General features: G+C 40.9%; 1 long non-coding RNA gene across 2 annotated transcripts in view; it reads right to left on the bottom strand.

The window, feature by feature from the left end:
* Positions 1-221: 221 nt before the first annotated feature.
* The window catches only part of LOC105377891 (uncharacterized), a 60,354-nt gene continuing 44,555 nt past the window's right edge, over positions 222-16,020 (bottom strand). Inside the window, exons 3-7 of one of the 2 annotated variants that reach the window (XR_942778.4) lie at positions 12,423-12,593; positions 11,693-11,838; positions 11,024-11,157; positions 1,996-2,050; positions 222-1,434 (exon numbers count right to left, since the gene is read on the bottom strand). This is a non-coding gene — a long non-coding RNA (uncharacterized LOC105377891). The remainder of the gene's footprint in view (positions 1,435-1,995; positions 2,051-11,023; positions 11,158-11,692; positions 11,839-12,422; positions 12,594-16,020) is intronic. The other variant, XR_007059677.1, reaches the window with a different exon arrangement.

The following is a 16,020-nucleotide window of genomic DNA, read 5'->3' as shown; positions in this document are numbered from 1 at the left end:
ACTTAATCAACTTTAGCAATTTTCCCCAGAAAAACATCTATTTCATCAATATCTTCAAGTTATTAGCATAGAATGTAATCTTATTAAATTTAAATATCCTCTGTGGTATGTTCATATTCTTTTTCTCACTTCGAATATTGTTGGTTCATATTTTCTCTTTTCCTGGATTCAACAGATAAAAAGCACTTCTATATTGTTAGCCTTACAAAAATTAAAAACACTTGGATTTATCAATTATACTTTATTTTCTGATTATAAATTGCCATATTATCTTTCTTTTCCTTTTATTTCTGCTTAGTTGGATTTTATTCTTCTATTTCTCATTTTTTAGCCATATGCTTTAGTCATATGTTTACTCTCTGGCTTAATAATGATAGCATGTGGGGGCCTCAACGTACCTCTTTTGTACTGATCTAGTCACATTCTATGAATGCTTATATATAACTTTCTGATTTTTATTACTTTCTAAATAGCTGGTGATTATAGTTTTCATTTTCTTTTTAATGCAGTCATAATACATATTTTTTTAGTTTCTAAGTGGTGGAAGGGTGAGTTTTTAAAATTTTATTTACTTTGGTAATTTTTGTCTAGTTTTGTTGCATTTTGGACAAAAGTTCTCTTTGTGGCCTTTATAGTATTTGTTTTGCTCTGGTTTTCAAATAATACATCAGAAAGGCATATTCTTTGTTGCTAGGGAACAAAATTCAATATTTGTCTATTAATCAACTTTGATAATTATGGTGTATCAAACTTAGGTGTCTTTTTTTTTCCTCTGCTAATTGTCAAAGTCTGGTGCTTACGTCTCTTATAACAATTGTTTTTCTGCTGAATTCCCCTTTCATTCCTGTCAAATTTTTGTTTTTTATATTTAATATTGTGCTTTTATTGTGTGACTTTGATCATTATAATATCTTCATCCTGCATTGTACCTTTTATCAACATAAAATGCCCACAAATGGCTCTTTTATTCCAAGTGTTGCTTTATGATGAATTCTACTTTGTCTTATTATTACTGCCATTCTTCTTTTATTTTAATTTGCATTGGCTTGAAAAATAATTGGTTATCATTTTATTCTTTTAACTACTTAGAATTAACTCCAATATTTATTAGTGTTTTTCCTGATTTCGAAGTGAACTCATGTTCATTGCAGAAATCCTAGCAACTATAGAAAAGCACACACATACAAAATCATCCTTTACCCAATATGCAGACTTTTCTCCTTTTTTCTCCCCTCTTCTTTTAAAATTTTCTTTGGTATGTTCAAAGCTGGAAGAGTCTTACACAGGGGTCTGCAGGTCACAGACCAATTAAACTAGAAACTGTATCATTCTACAGACCATAGCGTAGAAGAACAAAGTTATCAAGAAACCAGCTCTTGTTTCTGTTTCATTTCTTGAAATCCAAAACAGCAAAACACATTCCTCCCTTGTCTCCTGTGGGAGCATAGAAACAAAGCGATTAGATTGCCAGGGATTCAAAGCAAGAATGACTTAAATCTGCAGCGGTCCAGAGACCTGAAGCCCAGGCGGCTCCCTTGTGTCAGGAGTTTAGAGAAGGTGAGTCTAGCGGCTGCCACTAAGAAACAAAACCCCAGCTTCAGCAAGGGCCTGGGGTGTGTGTCGCTGTGGTGGGAGTGTGAGCGTGTGCGTGAGTATATATTGCTGGTGGTGGTGTGTGTGCATGCGGAGGGGTGAGCCAAGAGGTCATAGCAGTAGAGAGAGTTCGGCAGCAAGCCCAGAGGTCCCGCCGAGGATAAGCAGATAGTCAACACACCTGAGTCCATTTCCTTGCCGACCTCTCCGGAGGGCGGAGAAACCCGGGGTCTGAGAACTGCCCCAAGTCATGTTCTGGCTTAAAAAAGTAAGGCCCGGAGCTTGAGCAAAAATGTTTCCTATGTCAAAGAATCTGCAAATAGGCTCCCCTAGGAAAGGTGAAAAGGATTGACTGCCTTTAACATAAACGAAGAAAAGACTAAGTGACTACTTAATTACTACCATCAAATCCATGAAGGTGTTCTTAAACAGAGTACTCAATGGTTTTCCACTTTCTCTGGAAGACAAAAAGGGTTAAATGTGATCACTTAACATAATGGAAATGTCAAGGAGTTTCTTAACCCTCAGATTTACACAACATGAAACGTCCAGGTGCGGTGGCTCACGTCTGTAATCCCAGCACTTTGGGAGGCTGAGGTGGGAGGACTGCTTGAGCCCAGGAGTTCAAGATCAGCTGGGGCAACATAGAGAGACCTCATCTCTACTAAAAGTCAGAAGTCAAAAAAATTAGCCCAGTGTGGTGTTGTGCACCTATGGTCCTAGTTACTCGGAAGGCTGAGGCTGGAAGATCACTTGATCCCAGGAGATCAAGGTTGCAGTGAGCTGAGGTCACAGCACTACACTCCAGCCTGGGTGACAAAGCAAGACTTTGTCTAAAAAAAAAAAAAAAAAAAAACCATGAAATGGTCTACAGGGAAAGACAGTAGCATTGCCCTTGTCATCCCCCCAGTGATTATTGAAGAGAGAGAAATAGCCATCCAGAACCAGAATGCAGGGTCTATAAACTCCTGGGAAACAGCACAGGCCTCTGGGTCAGGCAGATCTAGGCAGTAGCTTTGCACAATCTCAGAAAGATTACTTAACCCCTTTACCCTTAGTTTCTTCATCTGTAAAATGGGCATAATATCACAAGTATTTGTTGGATTAAAGCAAATGACATTGTAGGTGCTCAGCAAATTTTACCTTCCTCCCCCTTTCAACTATCATTTGATAAATAATTAATCTTGCACACTGACTACTAAAGAGGATACTAATTAAATTTCATTCTCTAAAGATTTACTGAGCATCTACTTTATGTAAGGCACTAGTGTGAACATTTGGTATTTCTTGGCTCCCCAGTATCCATTCACCCTCCTTTTGATAAGCCTCCAATTTGTGTGTGGATGTCCATCCCACCCTCCCTCTCTCTTGGTCAGTGTGGTTTTGGTGGAGTTTACTGGGGAGCCAGCCCTTTCTTCTCCTAGACCTGAACCTGGGAGGCAGGGGCTAGTGGAGCCATCTCACCTCCTCAAGAGCCTGAGAATGAAAATACACAGAGGAAAGCAGATCTGAGTTTATAGAAACAGGGAGAAGCCAGCCTAACACCTGGACTTTTCAGTTATGTGACTCAATGAATTCTACCTTTTGTTTAAGTGAGTTTGAGTTGCGTTTTCAGTTGCCAAAAGAGTCCAAACTGATTTAGCCTATGGAGGACATGTAAAAACAAATAAGGCTAAAATCTTATACATTATAAAGAAGACGTTTACAAGAATAATAATACAGGGCAAAACATTTATTATGTGCTATTTATCTAGTGCTTACTCAATACTAGTCACTATGCTAACTTTTTGCACACATTGTTTAATCTTCACAACAACTATTTTTATGGAAACAACAGCATTTGACTTTGAACTTGAGAGATGGGCAGAAACTGGACAGGTGCAAGAAGAGGGTAAACAGGATAAATGGAAGAAGGAGCAAATGATGACAGGAAAACTCGGGGACAGTTGGGGAAATAGTTGGTGTTCCTATTCATTGGGGCACAAAGGGCATGAGAGATGGTAGGGGGAATAATACTGGAAAGGAAGATCGAGATGAATGCATGAGGAGTCTGGAATGCCAGGGCAAGGAATTTGTGCTATTGACAATGAGATGTTCTAAGCAAAGCAGTAAGAGACCCCAAATCTACCCTCAAATAGCTTAGATTTATCTGGTGAAAATATTCTTACAATGTAAAGAAGTCGTGATCTTTTCCAAGGTGAATATAGAAGTGGGGAAATTATTAATACATAAGCATTCACAATTTAGCCCCTGTCCCTAGCTTTTAGAGTGACTTTCCTTTGTGTCAGCAGCCAGATGTCCTCAATTGTGCACAGTTTATATAGTGGGGAAACAATGCAAAAACTTTGAAAACCTAAGAGGGTAAGTTGATCATATAAAGAAGGATTTACCTGGTGGACAAGGCAGAGAGACAGAAAGTCTGAGTGTTGAGGCTGAAGAGGTTGGAATTTAACAAGAAAAGAGAGAAAGATTGATTCTTAGGGAGCTGGTGCCATCCATATGGAAGAAGCTGAGAGTGATAAGGAAAGAGCGTTTTTAGAATGTGATGTCATTTGCTTTGTTAAGAGAAAAAAGCAAAGACTTGAGGCACATCGTTGTAATTACTTTTTCACTTCCAGATTGCAGGTGCTGGGATTTATTATCAGTAGGGGGAAGAGCTTGAGTTGATACTTAGAGAAGGGCATGGTGGTGGGGAAGAGGAGAAGCATTTTGTGTTCAGCTTGCAGGGAGATACAGCTTGGGTCCACACAGGGACTGTGCTAGGAAACTGCCTACCTTGAGAAGAGGCGTCAAAAAAGAAAAGTGAGAACAAAGGTGGAGGTATGTCAAAACCATGTGACAGGCCTCTCCAAAAGTTAAAATTACTGTATGATCCAGCAATTCCCCTTCAAAAAGATTTGAAAGGATAGATTCAAACAGATACTTGCACACCAACGTTCATAGCACCACTATTCACAACAGCCAAAAGGTGGAAACAACCCAGATGTTCATTGACAGATTAATGGATAATCAAAATGTGGTATATACAATGGAATATTATTAATATAATATTATATTATTCAGCTTTAAACAAGTAATGAAATTCTGGGGCCAGGTGCGATGGCTCACACCTGTAATCCTAGCACCTTGGGAGGCCAAGGTGGGTGGATCACTTGAACCCAGAAGTTCAAGATCTGCCTGGGCATCATGGTGAAACCTCATCTGTAAAAAAAAAAAAAAATACAAAAATTAGCTGGACGTGGTTGTCCCTGTGGTCCCAGCTACTCGGAAGGCTGAGGTGGGAGGATCACCTGAGCCCAGGAGGCAGAGGTTGCAGTGAGTCATGATCATGCCACTGTACTCCAGCCTGGGCAACAGAGCAAGAAAAAAAAAAAAAAGAAAAGAAAAAAAGAAATTCTGATATGTGCTACATGAATGAACCTTAAAAACAGTACGTAAGTTAAAATAAGCCAGACACAAAATGACAAATATTGTATGATTTCATTTATATGAGGTACCTAGATAGGCAAATCCATAGACACAGAAAGAATAGAGGTTACCAGGGGATAGAGGAGGAGGAATGGGGAGTTATTGTTTAATGAGTGCAGAGTTTCTGTTTGGCATGATGAAAAAGTTCTGGAAATGAATAGTGGTGATGGTTCCACAATATTGTGAATGTACTTAATGCCACTGAATTATAGACTTAGAAATTGTTAAAATGTTAACTTTTCTGTTATGTATGTTTTACTACAATTTTAAAAACCACATGTGATGTAGGGTTATTGATGCCATACCAGGGAGTGGGAGTTTGCCTACTATCCCCAGAGACAAATCTTGATCAGAAGGGAGGGCTATAAAAATGTTGCTCTAAGAAGACTGATCAATAGCCATGAGGCAGAGAAGCTTGAATCAATGCCAGGCACCAGACTAGGGTGTGAACTTTTAAAACAGATAGAATGTGTTAACTCTAAGAGCCAGACAAAGAAAGAATCAGGGGGATTTGTGATTATTGGATGGGGAGAGAGGTACTGGGGATGCCAGCCAGTTTTCATTATTTCAGCTTTTTTCTCCCTTACCAAATATTTGCTACAGTGTTTGATTTGTATTTTTCAACAAGCCAGATATCTCCTTCTTAATAGTACCTAACGTTACCTTTCTCAATTGCTACCATAGTTAGAACTAATCAGCCACAAAGTCTTTAAATTGTCAACCTCAGCCAACAGACAGTATTTCAACCATATGGGAAAAAGTGGGCAGTCATGACTCAGGCTAAGTGATTCTGCTTTTCTGAATGGAAAAAACGTTCCACGTTTTGATCTTGGCCAAGAATGTTACTGAATGCAACTCTGAGGTCTGTAAATAAACTTTTTTTGTGTGGTAATGCAATGTTTCCTATTGCATCAGTATATGCCATGTCAAAGAGGCAAATGTCAAACTCTCGGCTGATCAATATAAAGCTATTTTCCAACTTGTTTTTCAGGATCTTTTAAATTTCACTTTGTATGATTTCACAACCTTACTATTCAAATAATATTTTAAAATTTCAACATGTTAAATCTTTGTACAAAATCCAAAATGAAGTATATTCTTATATAAAAACTTAAATTCCTGCACAGTCAAAAATGGTTTATTGTTGCTTTCTATAAGCCTTAGATACATCTTAGCTGTGTTTTATTATCAGAGGGCCCCTGGTACCTCTTAACCACGAATGAAGTTAAAACAGTTAAACTGTTTACCCCACTAACGCCCCCATCACCACACAGTAGCAGAGAAGTGTCTTCCAACTTCATGAACTGAGGAAAGAGGGAGGTATGTTTTGATAACAAGGAGAGAAGTCCAACACCAGACTAGGTCAGTGCTAAAGAGATCGGCCTGATTAGGTGCTGCAGTGACAGGCTCTGAGCAAACCAGCAGAAACAGAAAGACAGTCAGAAGAGATGACAAGGAAGGTTGGATCTGATATGAGGAATGAGGTCTACTAAACATTACCTTTGCCTCCAGCAGCCCACATGTTACATGTGTAAGGGAAATCCTAGTGGGTGCCAATCAGACTCGATCAGCCTGACAGCTGGAGATGGTGATATTCCTCCTCAAAGCATCTATTTGCATCCACTGATGTATGCAGAACTTTGGGGGCCTTACAGGAAAAATACGTGAACCTTGTTGTATTAGTCTGTTCTCACACTGCTATAAAGAACTACCTGAGCTGGGTAATTTATGAAGGAAAGAGGTTTAATTGACTCACAGTTCCTCAGGCTGTACAGAAAGCATAAAGCATGGTTGGGAGGCCTCAAAAAACTTACAATTACGGCAGAAGGGTGAAGAGGAAGCAAGTATGTCGTCATCTGGTGGCAGAGGAGAGGGAGGGAGGGAGGAAGAGAGAGAGAGTGAGAGAGAGAGCACAAAGAGGGAAGTGCCACACGTGTTTAAACCAACAGATCTCATGAGAACTCACTCACTATCACAAGAACAACAAGGGGGAAATCTGCCCCCATGATCCAATCACCTCCCAGCAGGTCCCTCTTCCAACACTGGGAATCACAATTCAACATGACATTTGGTTGGAGACACAGAGCCAAACCATATCACTTGTCCATTTCAAGCAAATACAGATACATTTATTCCCCAAATATTTATTGAGTTCTTACTGCTGTGCCAGACACTATAGAAGGTGCTAGGAAGACTGAGAAGACAAGGACCCTGCCCTCAAGGAACTTACAATCTTAGTGGAAGAGACAGCAATAAATAGAATAACAAATACATAAGATAATTAATATTGTGATAACTACAATGAAGGGAAAAAACAAGGGTGAGGCCACTTCAGACTGGGTGTTCAAGGATTGCCTTAGAAGAGGGTAATATCTGAGCTTAATCTTCAAGGATGAGAAAGGGCCAGCCAGTCTCCCCTAGAAGGTCAAGCATTCCAGAGGTGGGAGAACAGAAGGCAGAGTAGCTGAAGCTGGTGAGGTGGGTTTGTGGAGCTGGCAGAAGCTAAGTCTTGCAGGGCCTCACAGACCATGTTAAGGAGGGGATCAGAAGCCGCTGAAAAGTTTTAATCAGGGAAAGACATGATATGATTTACACTTCTGAAAGATCATTCTGGCTGCTGTAAGGAGAATGCAGGTAAAAGTGGAAGTAGATTAGTTAGGAAGCCAAAGTGATAGTCCAAATAAGTGATGATGATGGCTCAGACCAAGAAAGTGGTTCTCAAAGTGGGGCCCCTGGACCAGCAGCAGCAGCATCCAGCAACTTATTATAAACGCAAATTCTCAGGCCCTACCCCAGACCCACTGAATCAGAAACTCTGAGAGAGACCAGGCACAATGGCTGGCACCTGTAATCCCAAAACTTTAGGAAGCCAAGGCAGGAGGATCACTTGAGCCCAAGAGTTCAAGACCAGCCTGGGCAACATACTGAGACCCCATCTAGACAAAAATAAGTGTGATGGTTCACACCTGTAGTCCCAGCTACTCAGGAGGCTGAGACAGGAGGATTGCTTTACTCTGGGAGGTCAAGGTGGCAGTGATCCGTGATCTTGCAAATGCACTCTAGCCTTATTTTTAGAGACAGAGCCAGACCTTGTCTCTAAAAATAAGTTTTAAGAAAGAAACTCTGAGGATGAGAGCCAGAGATAGGTATATTAACAACTCCTCCAGTTGATTATCATGTACCCTAAAGCTTGAGAACTTCTGGACTAGGGGTATGGAAATAGAGAAGGGCAGAAGTGAACTGTGGTGGAAGTAAATGTTGATGGTTGAACTTGGTAATGTGTTGAATATGAAGGATGAGCTCACTATCAAAGCCAGAACTAAGGACTCCAGCTTAACCAGCAATGAGAGCAAGAGGCTAACTCAGAATAACAGTGCAGGCATATGAGTCCCTGTCTTGGACTCTTTGAAAGATGAGGAAGAAGCATGATGGAAGTTTGCCTTCACTGTCCAGCATCTGGCCGCTCTTCCTTATTCAGAATATCACCAAGAGTGTAGGTCCTAGTGGGAGACACAGCCCCATCTGTCCCTCTGTAAAAGTTAAAAGGGGCTGAGTTAAACAATAAAAGAGTTAAAATGTCCCCCATTTATTTATTTATTTTCTTTTAGAGACAGTGTCTTGCTCTGCTGCCCAGTCTTGAATGCAGTGGTGCTATCAAAGCTCACTGCACCCTCAAACTCCTGGGCTCAAGCAATCCTCTCCCACCTCAGCCTTATAAGTAGCTAGGTGTACAGGTGCACACTGCCTCACTTGGCTAATTTTTAAAATGGTGATGAGGTCTCACTACATTGCCCAAGCTGGTCTTGAACTCCTGGGCTCAACGGATCCTCCTTCTGTAGCCTCCCAAAGTGCTGGGATTACAGGCATGAGCCAGGACACCCAACCTTGATTTCCCTCCTGTAATTCACTACAATCCAGGGCTTACGAAGATGACCTAGACTCAGTCAATCAGATGCCCACGTAAGACTTTGGCTCTGGAAGGAGTTTATTCATGGCTATGACAGTGGAGTCAAGGGTTCATTGGGAAGGATGGATGACATGAACTTGGCTGTTATTTTCCCAGCCAGTTTTCCCACACTTCCCATCCATGTATGAGCAATTAGATATGCTTCTGATAGACTCCTTTTCTGCCAATTTACTAGATTTTTCATCCAAGCTCTCTGGTCAAAAGAAGAACTCTATGGAGACTATGTGTACATGGGAGCTCAGAGTTCTTAATATCTGGGTGCTAATTTTTATGTGGTGGTATTTTCACTCACAGGCTGCAGCAGCCAGAGACATTTGGGTTGCAGGTAGCTAAAGACCACAGCTTCTGGCAGTTGCTTCCCTGGACACAGTCAACCGGCAACCGAGACTTTAAATAACAGAGATTTCCTTTTCTTTCCAAAGCCTTTTGACCTTATCTCCTCATATTCGAGCCTATTGCCCATGATACTGGTCACATTGTAATGGTCTCCCCATAATCTCTGGCCTCCTCCACTGCAGAGGGTGATCCTAGAGCATGGCCCTGACCATGCCATGCCCTTAGCAAGCACCATTCACACAATGTTCAGAATAAAATCCAAACTATTTAGTTTGGTATTCAAAGTCCTACACAATTTCATTTCTACCTATTTTCCCTAACATACCTTTCTGTACTTTCCAACACACAGCTTATGCTTAAAATAGTTTGGTCTATTCACTGTGCCCTGGGCATGTGTCATGTATTCCTATTCTCCTCTCCTCCCCTCTTTCTCTCCAAATCCTTCCCACCCCTCAAGACCCATGTCCATCCCCACCTCTCTTGGGCAATACTTCTTGCGCTTAGCCACTATGATCTCTCCTCCTCTAAATGTTTAAAACCCATAATGCCCATGCCAGTCATCTGATGCTCAGTAGGCACTGCCTGATAGGTTTTCCTTTTCTTGGGCGTGTGCCTTATTGCATCAACCAGATGATAAACCCATTTAGAGCAGATGCCACACTCTACACAATGACTCCCTGCTATGATTACCCAACTTCTATATACTAGACTAGCTCATGGAACATGATTCAGAACAGGATGGAAACATGGGTCAGCAAGGATATAATAAACAGGTCTCCTTGCCTGCCCTACTCATGGCCCCTTCTGGAGAATCTAGTCTGCCAGGTTACCTAGAAAGAGCATCACTCCCTACCCCATAACCACCCTCCCCATCTCCTCCAACCATGGCTGAGTGTACCAGGGTTAGACATCTAACCCCAAAGCAGCTGCTCCAATGTGAAGCAACACGTGATCTGGACTGATCAGTCTTCTCCTTATAACAATTTGCCCAGGAGACACAGAGACTGTCATCAATTGCCAATGACTACTGGAGCTTGGAAATCATGAGACTAAGGTGGACTGGGAGCTGCGTGGGAGGAAGTGAGCAAGATGAGTATGCAGAGGAAGCAGGTTTAGGAGAAAGGATGAAGATTTTCAGAGACAGAGATCTCTGTAGCTCCTGAAGATAAAGAGAATGGCTTAGCTCCTGGTGGCTTTCTGGTTCTCAGGTCCAATCTTTCACAGGGACTGATTGCATATCCTGTCCATGAGATTTCTCTTTAACATTTCAGGAAATTGGAGCTAGCTTGAATAGCTTTCTGCTCCTTCTCATCCCCCACCCCGCCGCCCTTTTTTTTCCATCAAAGGAACCGTGACTAGAAAGAGGCACCACAGGCTGATAATAATTCTCACCCTCCATTCTTTATACTCTTCCCAGGGTCCTGCCCCTTCTCTTCTCCTAGGGCTGTCACAGCAAAACGTGACTACTAAATTCCTAATGTGGAGAATCAAGAATCAATTGCTCGAATGCTGTCAAAAATGACATTCAAGTTTGAGTGACAATGATGTCTCTGGTCCTGTCCCTATCCACTTCTCTATTTTTAGTTCTGTTCCTACTATCTGAAATTACAATGCCTGGTGCTTAAGCAATTGCCAGGAGTTATTTAACAAGTACCTTACCCTTCTTTGAAGACGATGCTTTGATCCTGAGCTTACATCCTTTTCTCAGTGACAGAGATTTTGGAATGTGCCATTTCACAAAACACCAAGTCTCTTCTGGTGTTTTCTTTGAATGAGGGGCTTGAGTCCATTGGCTGGTAACAGAAATTGGAGCTTGTCAGAAGAAATTTCCTATAACCCACTTCAGCAAGTTACTCCCCATATATTAAATAGGGCTAACATGGCCAGGCTTTCTCAAGGATGCGGTGAAATAAATCAATATAATGGGTTGAAAGTGCTTTGTAAACTAATTCCATATAGTACTATTATTCTTATTGTCAATGCCCATCTATCTTCAGAAGTATTATTCCAGGTGTAAAGGTCATACACAGACCTTTGAATAGCTCAGAGCAGAGCTATTCAATGTTCAGAGCTGTGTGAGGATGCAGAGGCTACATTAGACCTTCAAGTAAATGATGGCTATTTGATGTGCACTCAAGCATGTATATGTATATACTTCACGTTTGAATTTTTTACATTAAAGACGAATTATATCTTCCATCAGAAAAAAAGAATGTCAAATTTTTAAAGCCTATGTGTACAATTTAGGAATCAATTAAGACTAGGGAACTTGAGGAAGGAAGGGACTGGGGAAAGAGTTTAAGTAAGTAAAAAATATATTACCCTTACCCCAAGAATTTATGAAAGTTCATATGAATCTTACTCCAAAGTGTATCTCCATCCTTCAGCATTCAGAACATATTGTCAGGAGTTACAGGTCAGGTCCTCCAGAAACAGATTGGAAGTGTATTTGGGAGGGTCCCTGGGAACCACACCTATGGGAGAGTAGAGGAAACAGGATTGGACAGAAGGAGAAGCTGGACTACATTCAGGCATCACAAAAGCCTCAACTGACCCCCACGGGATGCTCTGAAGCTGAGATGACCCTGCAGAGTTGTTCCAATCCAAATTAAGAGGCAGGGTCTTTATGTTCTCATATGTCAGTCATCGAGTGCAGGCTACCCCCAGAAAGGGGCCCAATGCCTCTCTTCAGCCAAGGGCAATTACCAGGAGGGATTACTCCACTACAAGCTGTCAGCCATCACTCCCAGCAGCTGAGGGAATGAGCACCTCCATCCTGAAGCAGGGGCTATGAGGAGCTGGGGCACATTCAGCATTGACCACACCAGGTCAGAGCTACCATTGTGGGGTTTTGTGTATCAGTGAAATAAGAAACTCCATGAAGAAAATGTGCTCTTCACAATAATATTCTTGTCATTCCACTGGCACACTGTCAGGGACAGGAGCATACCCCAAACTAACTGGTATTTGAGATTCAGTAGAATCTGTGACCAGAGCAAGAAACCCCCACACAATACCCTGCACCTATACTCCAAGCCCAACAAGAAACACATCATACCATTGGCTCCTTAAACCAAGAACTTGCATCCTTTGTCAGTTTCTTAATTCCAAGAGTGAGGGCTCAGCTTTAAACCAGCTGAAAGGATTATTCTTGTTTCTCAAGTTTGCCATCTCCTTGGGCACATACAACTGGGGGTCGACAATATTATTATTTCAAAAAGGCTCATGGCTATTGAACAGAAAATTAAAGAAGTAGTATCAGAAACAATGTGAGGAATTAAAAGATCAAAAATAACATCTAGAATAATTGCAGTCCCCCCATTAAATGATAAGATATGCTAAAATTTATCTATACACAGCTTTGCAGGATTAAAATCCTTCTAGGTTTTCTTTAAAGTTTTATAAATACTCATTGCTTGTAAGACTTGTATAAAACTTACTGAAATATGTTACAAAAAATCTTACCTTAATTTTAATCAAAACTGTATTTTTCTTGTAAGATTTAAGGAAGGAATCTTTTTTCACTCAGTGAAATCTTAGAGTGGCATTTCTAGTTGTCTCTTTGTCCCTTCTTGCTAATTATCTTAGCTCAGAAATTTATCAGTGCAAGAACGTGTATTAGCTTCCTGGTTAATTCAAAGTTCACAGGTGTATGCTGTGATTTTTATCACACCTATCTATAATGCGCAATGTGTCCAGCTTCTTATATCCCAAGAGGATCACCATTTAAGCTTTTCCTGAATGCTCAATTCTTCTTTGTCCATCTGCTAGGATTTTCATCTTCAGCCAAGAAAAAATAATGTACATTGTCCTACATTAATGGTCTGGCAGATTACCCTTACCCGAAGAGTTATGAAAGTTCATATGAATCTTACTTCAAAGTGTATCTCCATCCCTGCTCCCTCCCATCCTTTCTCTTTTTGATGCTCTTCAGATGTTTAAAAATGACTTTAACAAGACCTTTGGGTGCCCCCGATCCATTCCAAGTTATTGTCATACTGTTGATGTACCTAATTGATAGACCAGTAACCATTCATTTTATGTCTGAGTATGAAACCAGTTCCTGTCTTCACTCAATGGTATAGATAGAGTCTCACCAGCATGTGAGGCTATAGAAATTACTCGCTAATAGCATGGATTCTTGAGCTAGATTTTCCAACTTCAAATCCTACCTCTGCCACTTAGCTATGGAAAAATCACCACCTCTGTGTCTCAGCTTCCCCAACTATAAAATGGGACTATCTAGTCATAGGGCTATTGTTAGAAACAGTCAATTTAAAAGCAGTGTCTGATATATTTTTTTAAAAGCAAGTACTATTATTGCTATGCTAGTTTTTAGAATTAATTTTGTTAAAAGAAGTACCTGACACATAAGTGCTATATATGTACTAGTACGATTATTGGTATGCTATTTTTACCAAAAAAAACCCCCACAAATTTAAAATTGTTATCACTTACACAGCTAAATTATGGCATTTTAAAAAATGACTTCACAAAATCTATCGTGAGGCTTTATCATTCTTTTCTGTTATAAACAAGATCGTATTCTATGCCACACTCAAGGCACCAAAAAGATGATATCCAAGCTAATGAAAATATGCCTTCATTTACTCCAAACCATCAGAGTGCTCTCTCTGAGCATGGCCTTGGGCTAGGTGCCAGTGCTCCAGATATGATTAAGCCACGGGTTATGTCCTCAGAGCAATTACCATCACAGCTCCTCCTGGAGGTCCACTAAAACTAGCCCTTTGTGAAGGTGAATCGTGGACTTCCCAGCACATTTTCTTATCTCACATTTATTCTCAAGCAATCTTTGTTAGCAAACGCTTTCATACCCTGGATGTGAAGCTTTCTTTCAGGTAATTGAAAGCTTAAAAGAGATACACATTGCATACTAGAGAATGAGAACAGATTCCAATGAAAAGATTTAGCAGAAGCTATGGTATTTTTCTACAAAATCATTGTGATATCCCTGCCAATATCTATTTCTAGGCAAGTACCTTATTAAGATACTACTTTCTACATATCTGCAATTTAAAAGAACTGATATAGCTAATAGTTCCCTTTCCCTGTAATTCCTTGGATAACATAATTTTGCTCACGAAATTGCTTGTTTAATTTGATGGCTTACTGGTGTTATCAATAGTATTTATTGGGCATATCTATCATTACTTGGGTCATGTGTACTCATTGAATGCTTGTTGTGTGATAAACATCATACTATCCAATACGTAGGAAATTTTAAAATACCAAAAAGGATGTTGACTAAATTTTTAAATTCAAAAATATTAATCAGGGAAAGCTTCAGGAATGTAAATTTCAAGCCAGAAAAAGTTACATATATAGATTGGTGATATCAGAAAAGAGGGTTCTGGTATCCAGCTGGGCACAGAAGAAGGAATTAAGAATTAGAAAATTGGAGAATCGGCCGGGCGCGGTGGCTTATGCCTGTAATCACAGCACTTTGGGAGGCCGAGGCGGGTGGATCACGAGGTCAGGAGATCAAGACCATCCTGGCTAACACGGTGAAACCCTGTCTCTACTAAAAGTATAAAAAATTAGCCAGGCATGGTGGCGGGCGCCTGTAGTCCCAGCTACTCAGGAGGCTGAGCAGGAGAATGGCATGAACCCGGGAGGTAGAGCTTGCAGTGAGCTGAGATAGTGCCACTGCACTCCAGCCTGGGCGACAGAGCGAGACTCCATCTCAAAAAAAAAAAAAAAAGAAGAAAGAAAATTGGAGAATCTTCCTATGGTAACACATCTCTCTCTCTCTCTCTCTCTCTCTCTCTCTCTTTCTCGCTCTCTCTCTCACACACACACACCCCTCTGCCCTTCCAAACCTCATGTTTGCATGAGAGCAAAAACAAACCAGTTAATGAACTTTTTTTATTTTTATTTTTTGTTGTTGTTCATTTGTTTTGAGAAGGAGTCTCACTTTCTCATTCAGGATGGAGTGCAATGGCACAATCTTAGCTCACTGCAAACTCCACCTCCCAGGTTCAAGGGATTCTCCTCCCTCAGCCTCCTGAGTAGCTGGGATTACAGGCGTGCACCACCACACTCCGCTAATTTTTGTATTTTTAGTAGAGATGGGGTTTCACCATGTTGGCCAGGCTGGTCTCAAACTCCTGACCTCATGTGATCCACCCACCTCGGCTTCCCAAAGTGCTGGGATTACAGGTGTGAGCCACTGCACCTGGCCCAGTCAATGAACTTGACAGATGTTGTGGAGTATGTGCCACATGGCTGGACAAGAACCACAGATTCTGTGGTCCTGGATGAGGCATGACCTTTTAAACTTTCCCCAGATCACTGGAATTCTACATCAGGAATCCCTGTGAACCCCAGGGGAGCTCTCAACCATCAGAGGAAAGCTTCAGATCCTATAAGATCTCTATCATTGGACACTGAGTAGTAAATTTAATTTCCTAAACTGTTGCTTGGAGAATGTTTCCCATCAATACAAGTATTTCAGGGCTGCCCAACCCAGAAATCTGTCTCCAAGTAGCTCCTAAAGGGCTTTAAAACTTTCCTCCCATGGCCACAGTATGGAAAAGAATAGACACCAGAGAAACCACACACTAAGAAGGCTCAGGTTAGAAATTCAGAGAGCTAAAGCATCTTGTTCCTGTGCCCACCATTAGCACGCAAAGATC

Source organism: Homo sapiens, chromosome 6 (genome assembly GCF_000001405.40).
Source record: "Homo sapiens chromosome 6, GRCh38.p14 Primary Assembly".
NCBI lineage: Eukaryota > Metazoa > Chordata > Mammalia > Primates > Hominidae > Homo > Homo sapiens.
This window is presented reverse-complemented; position numbering and strand designations above follow the sequence as displayed.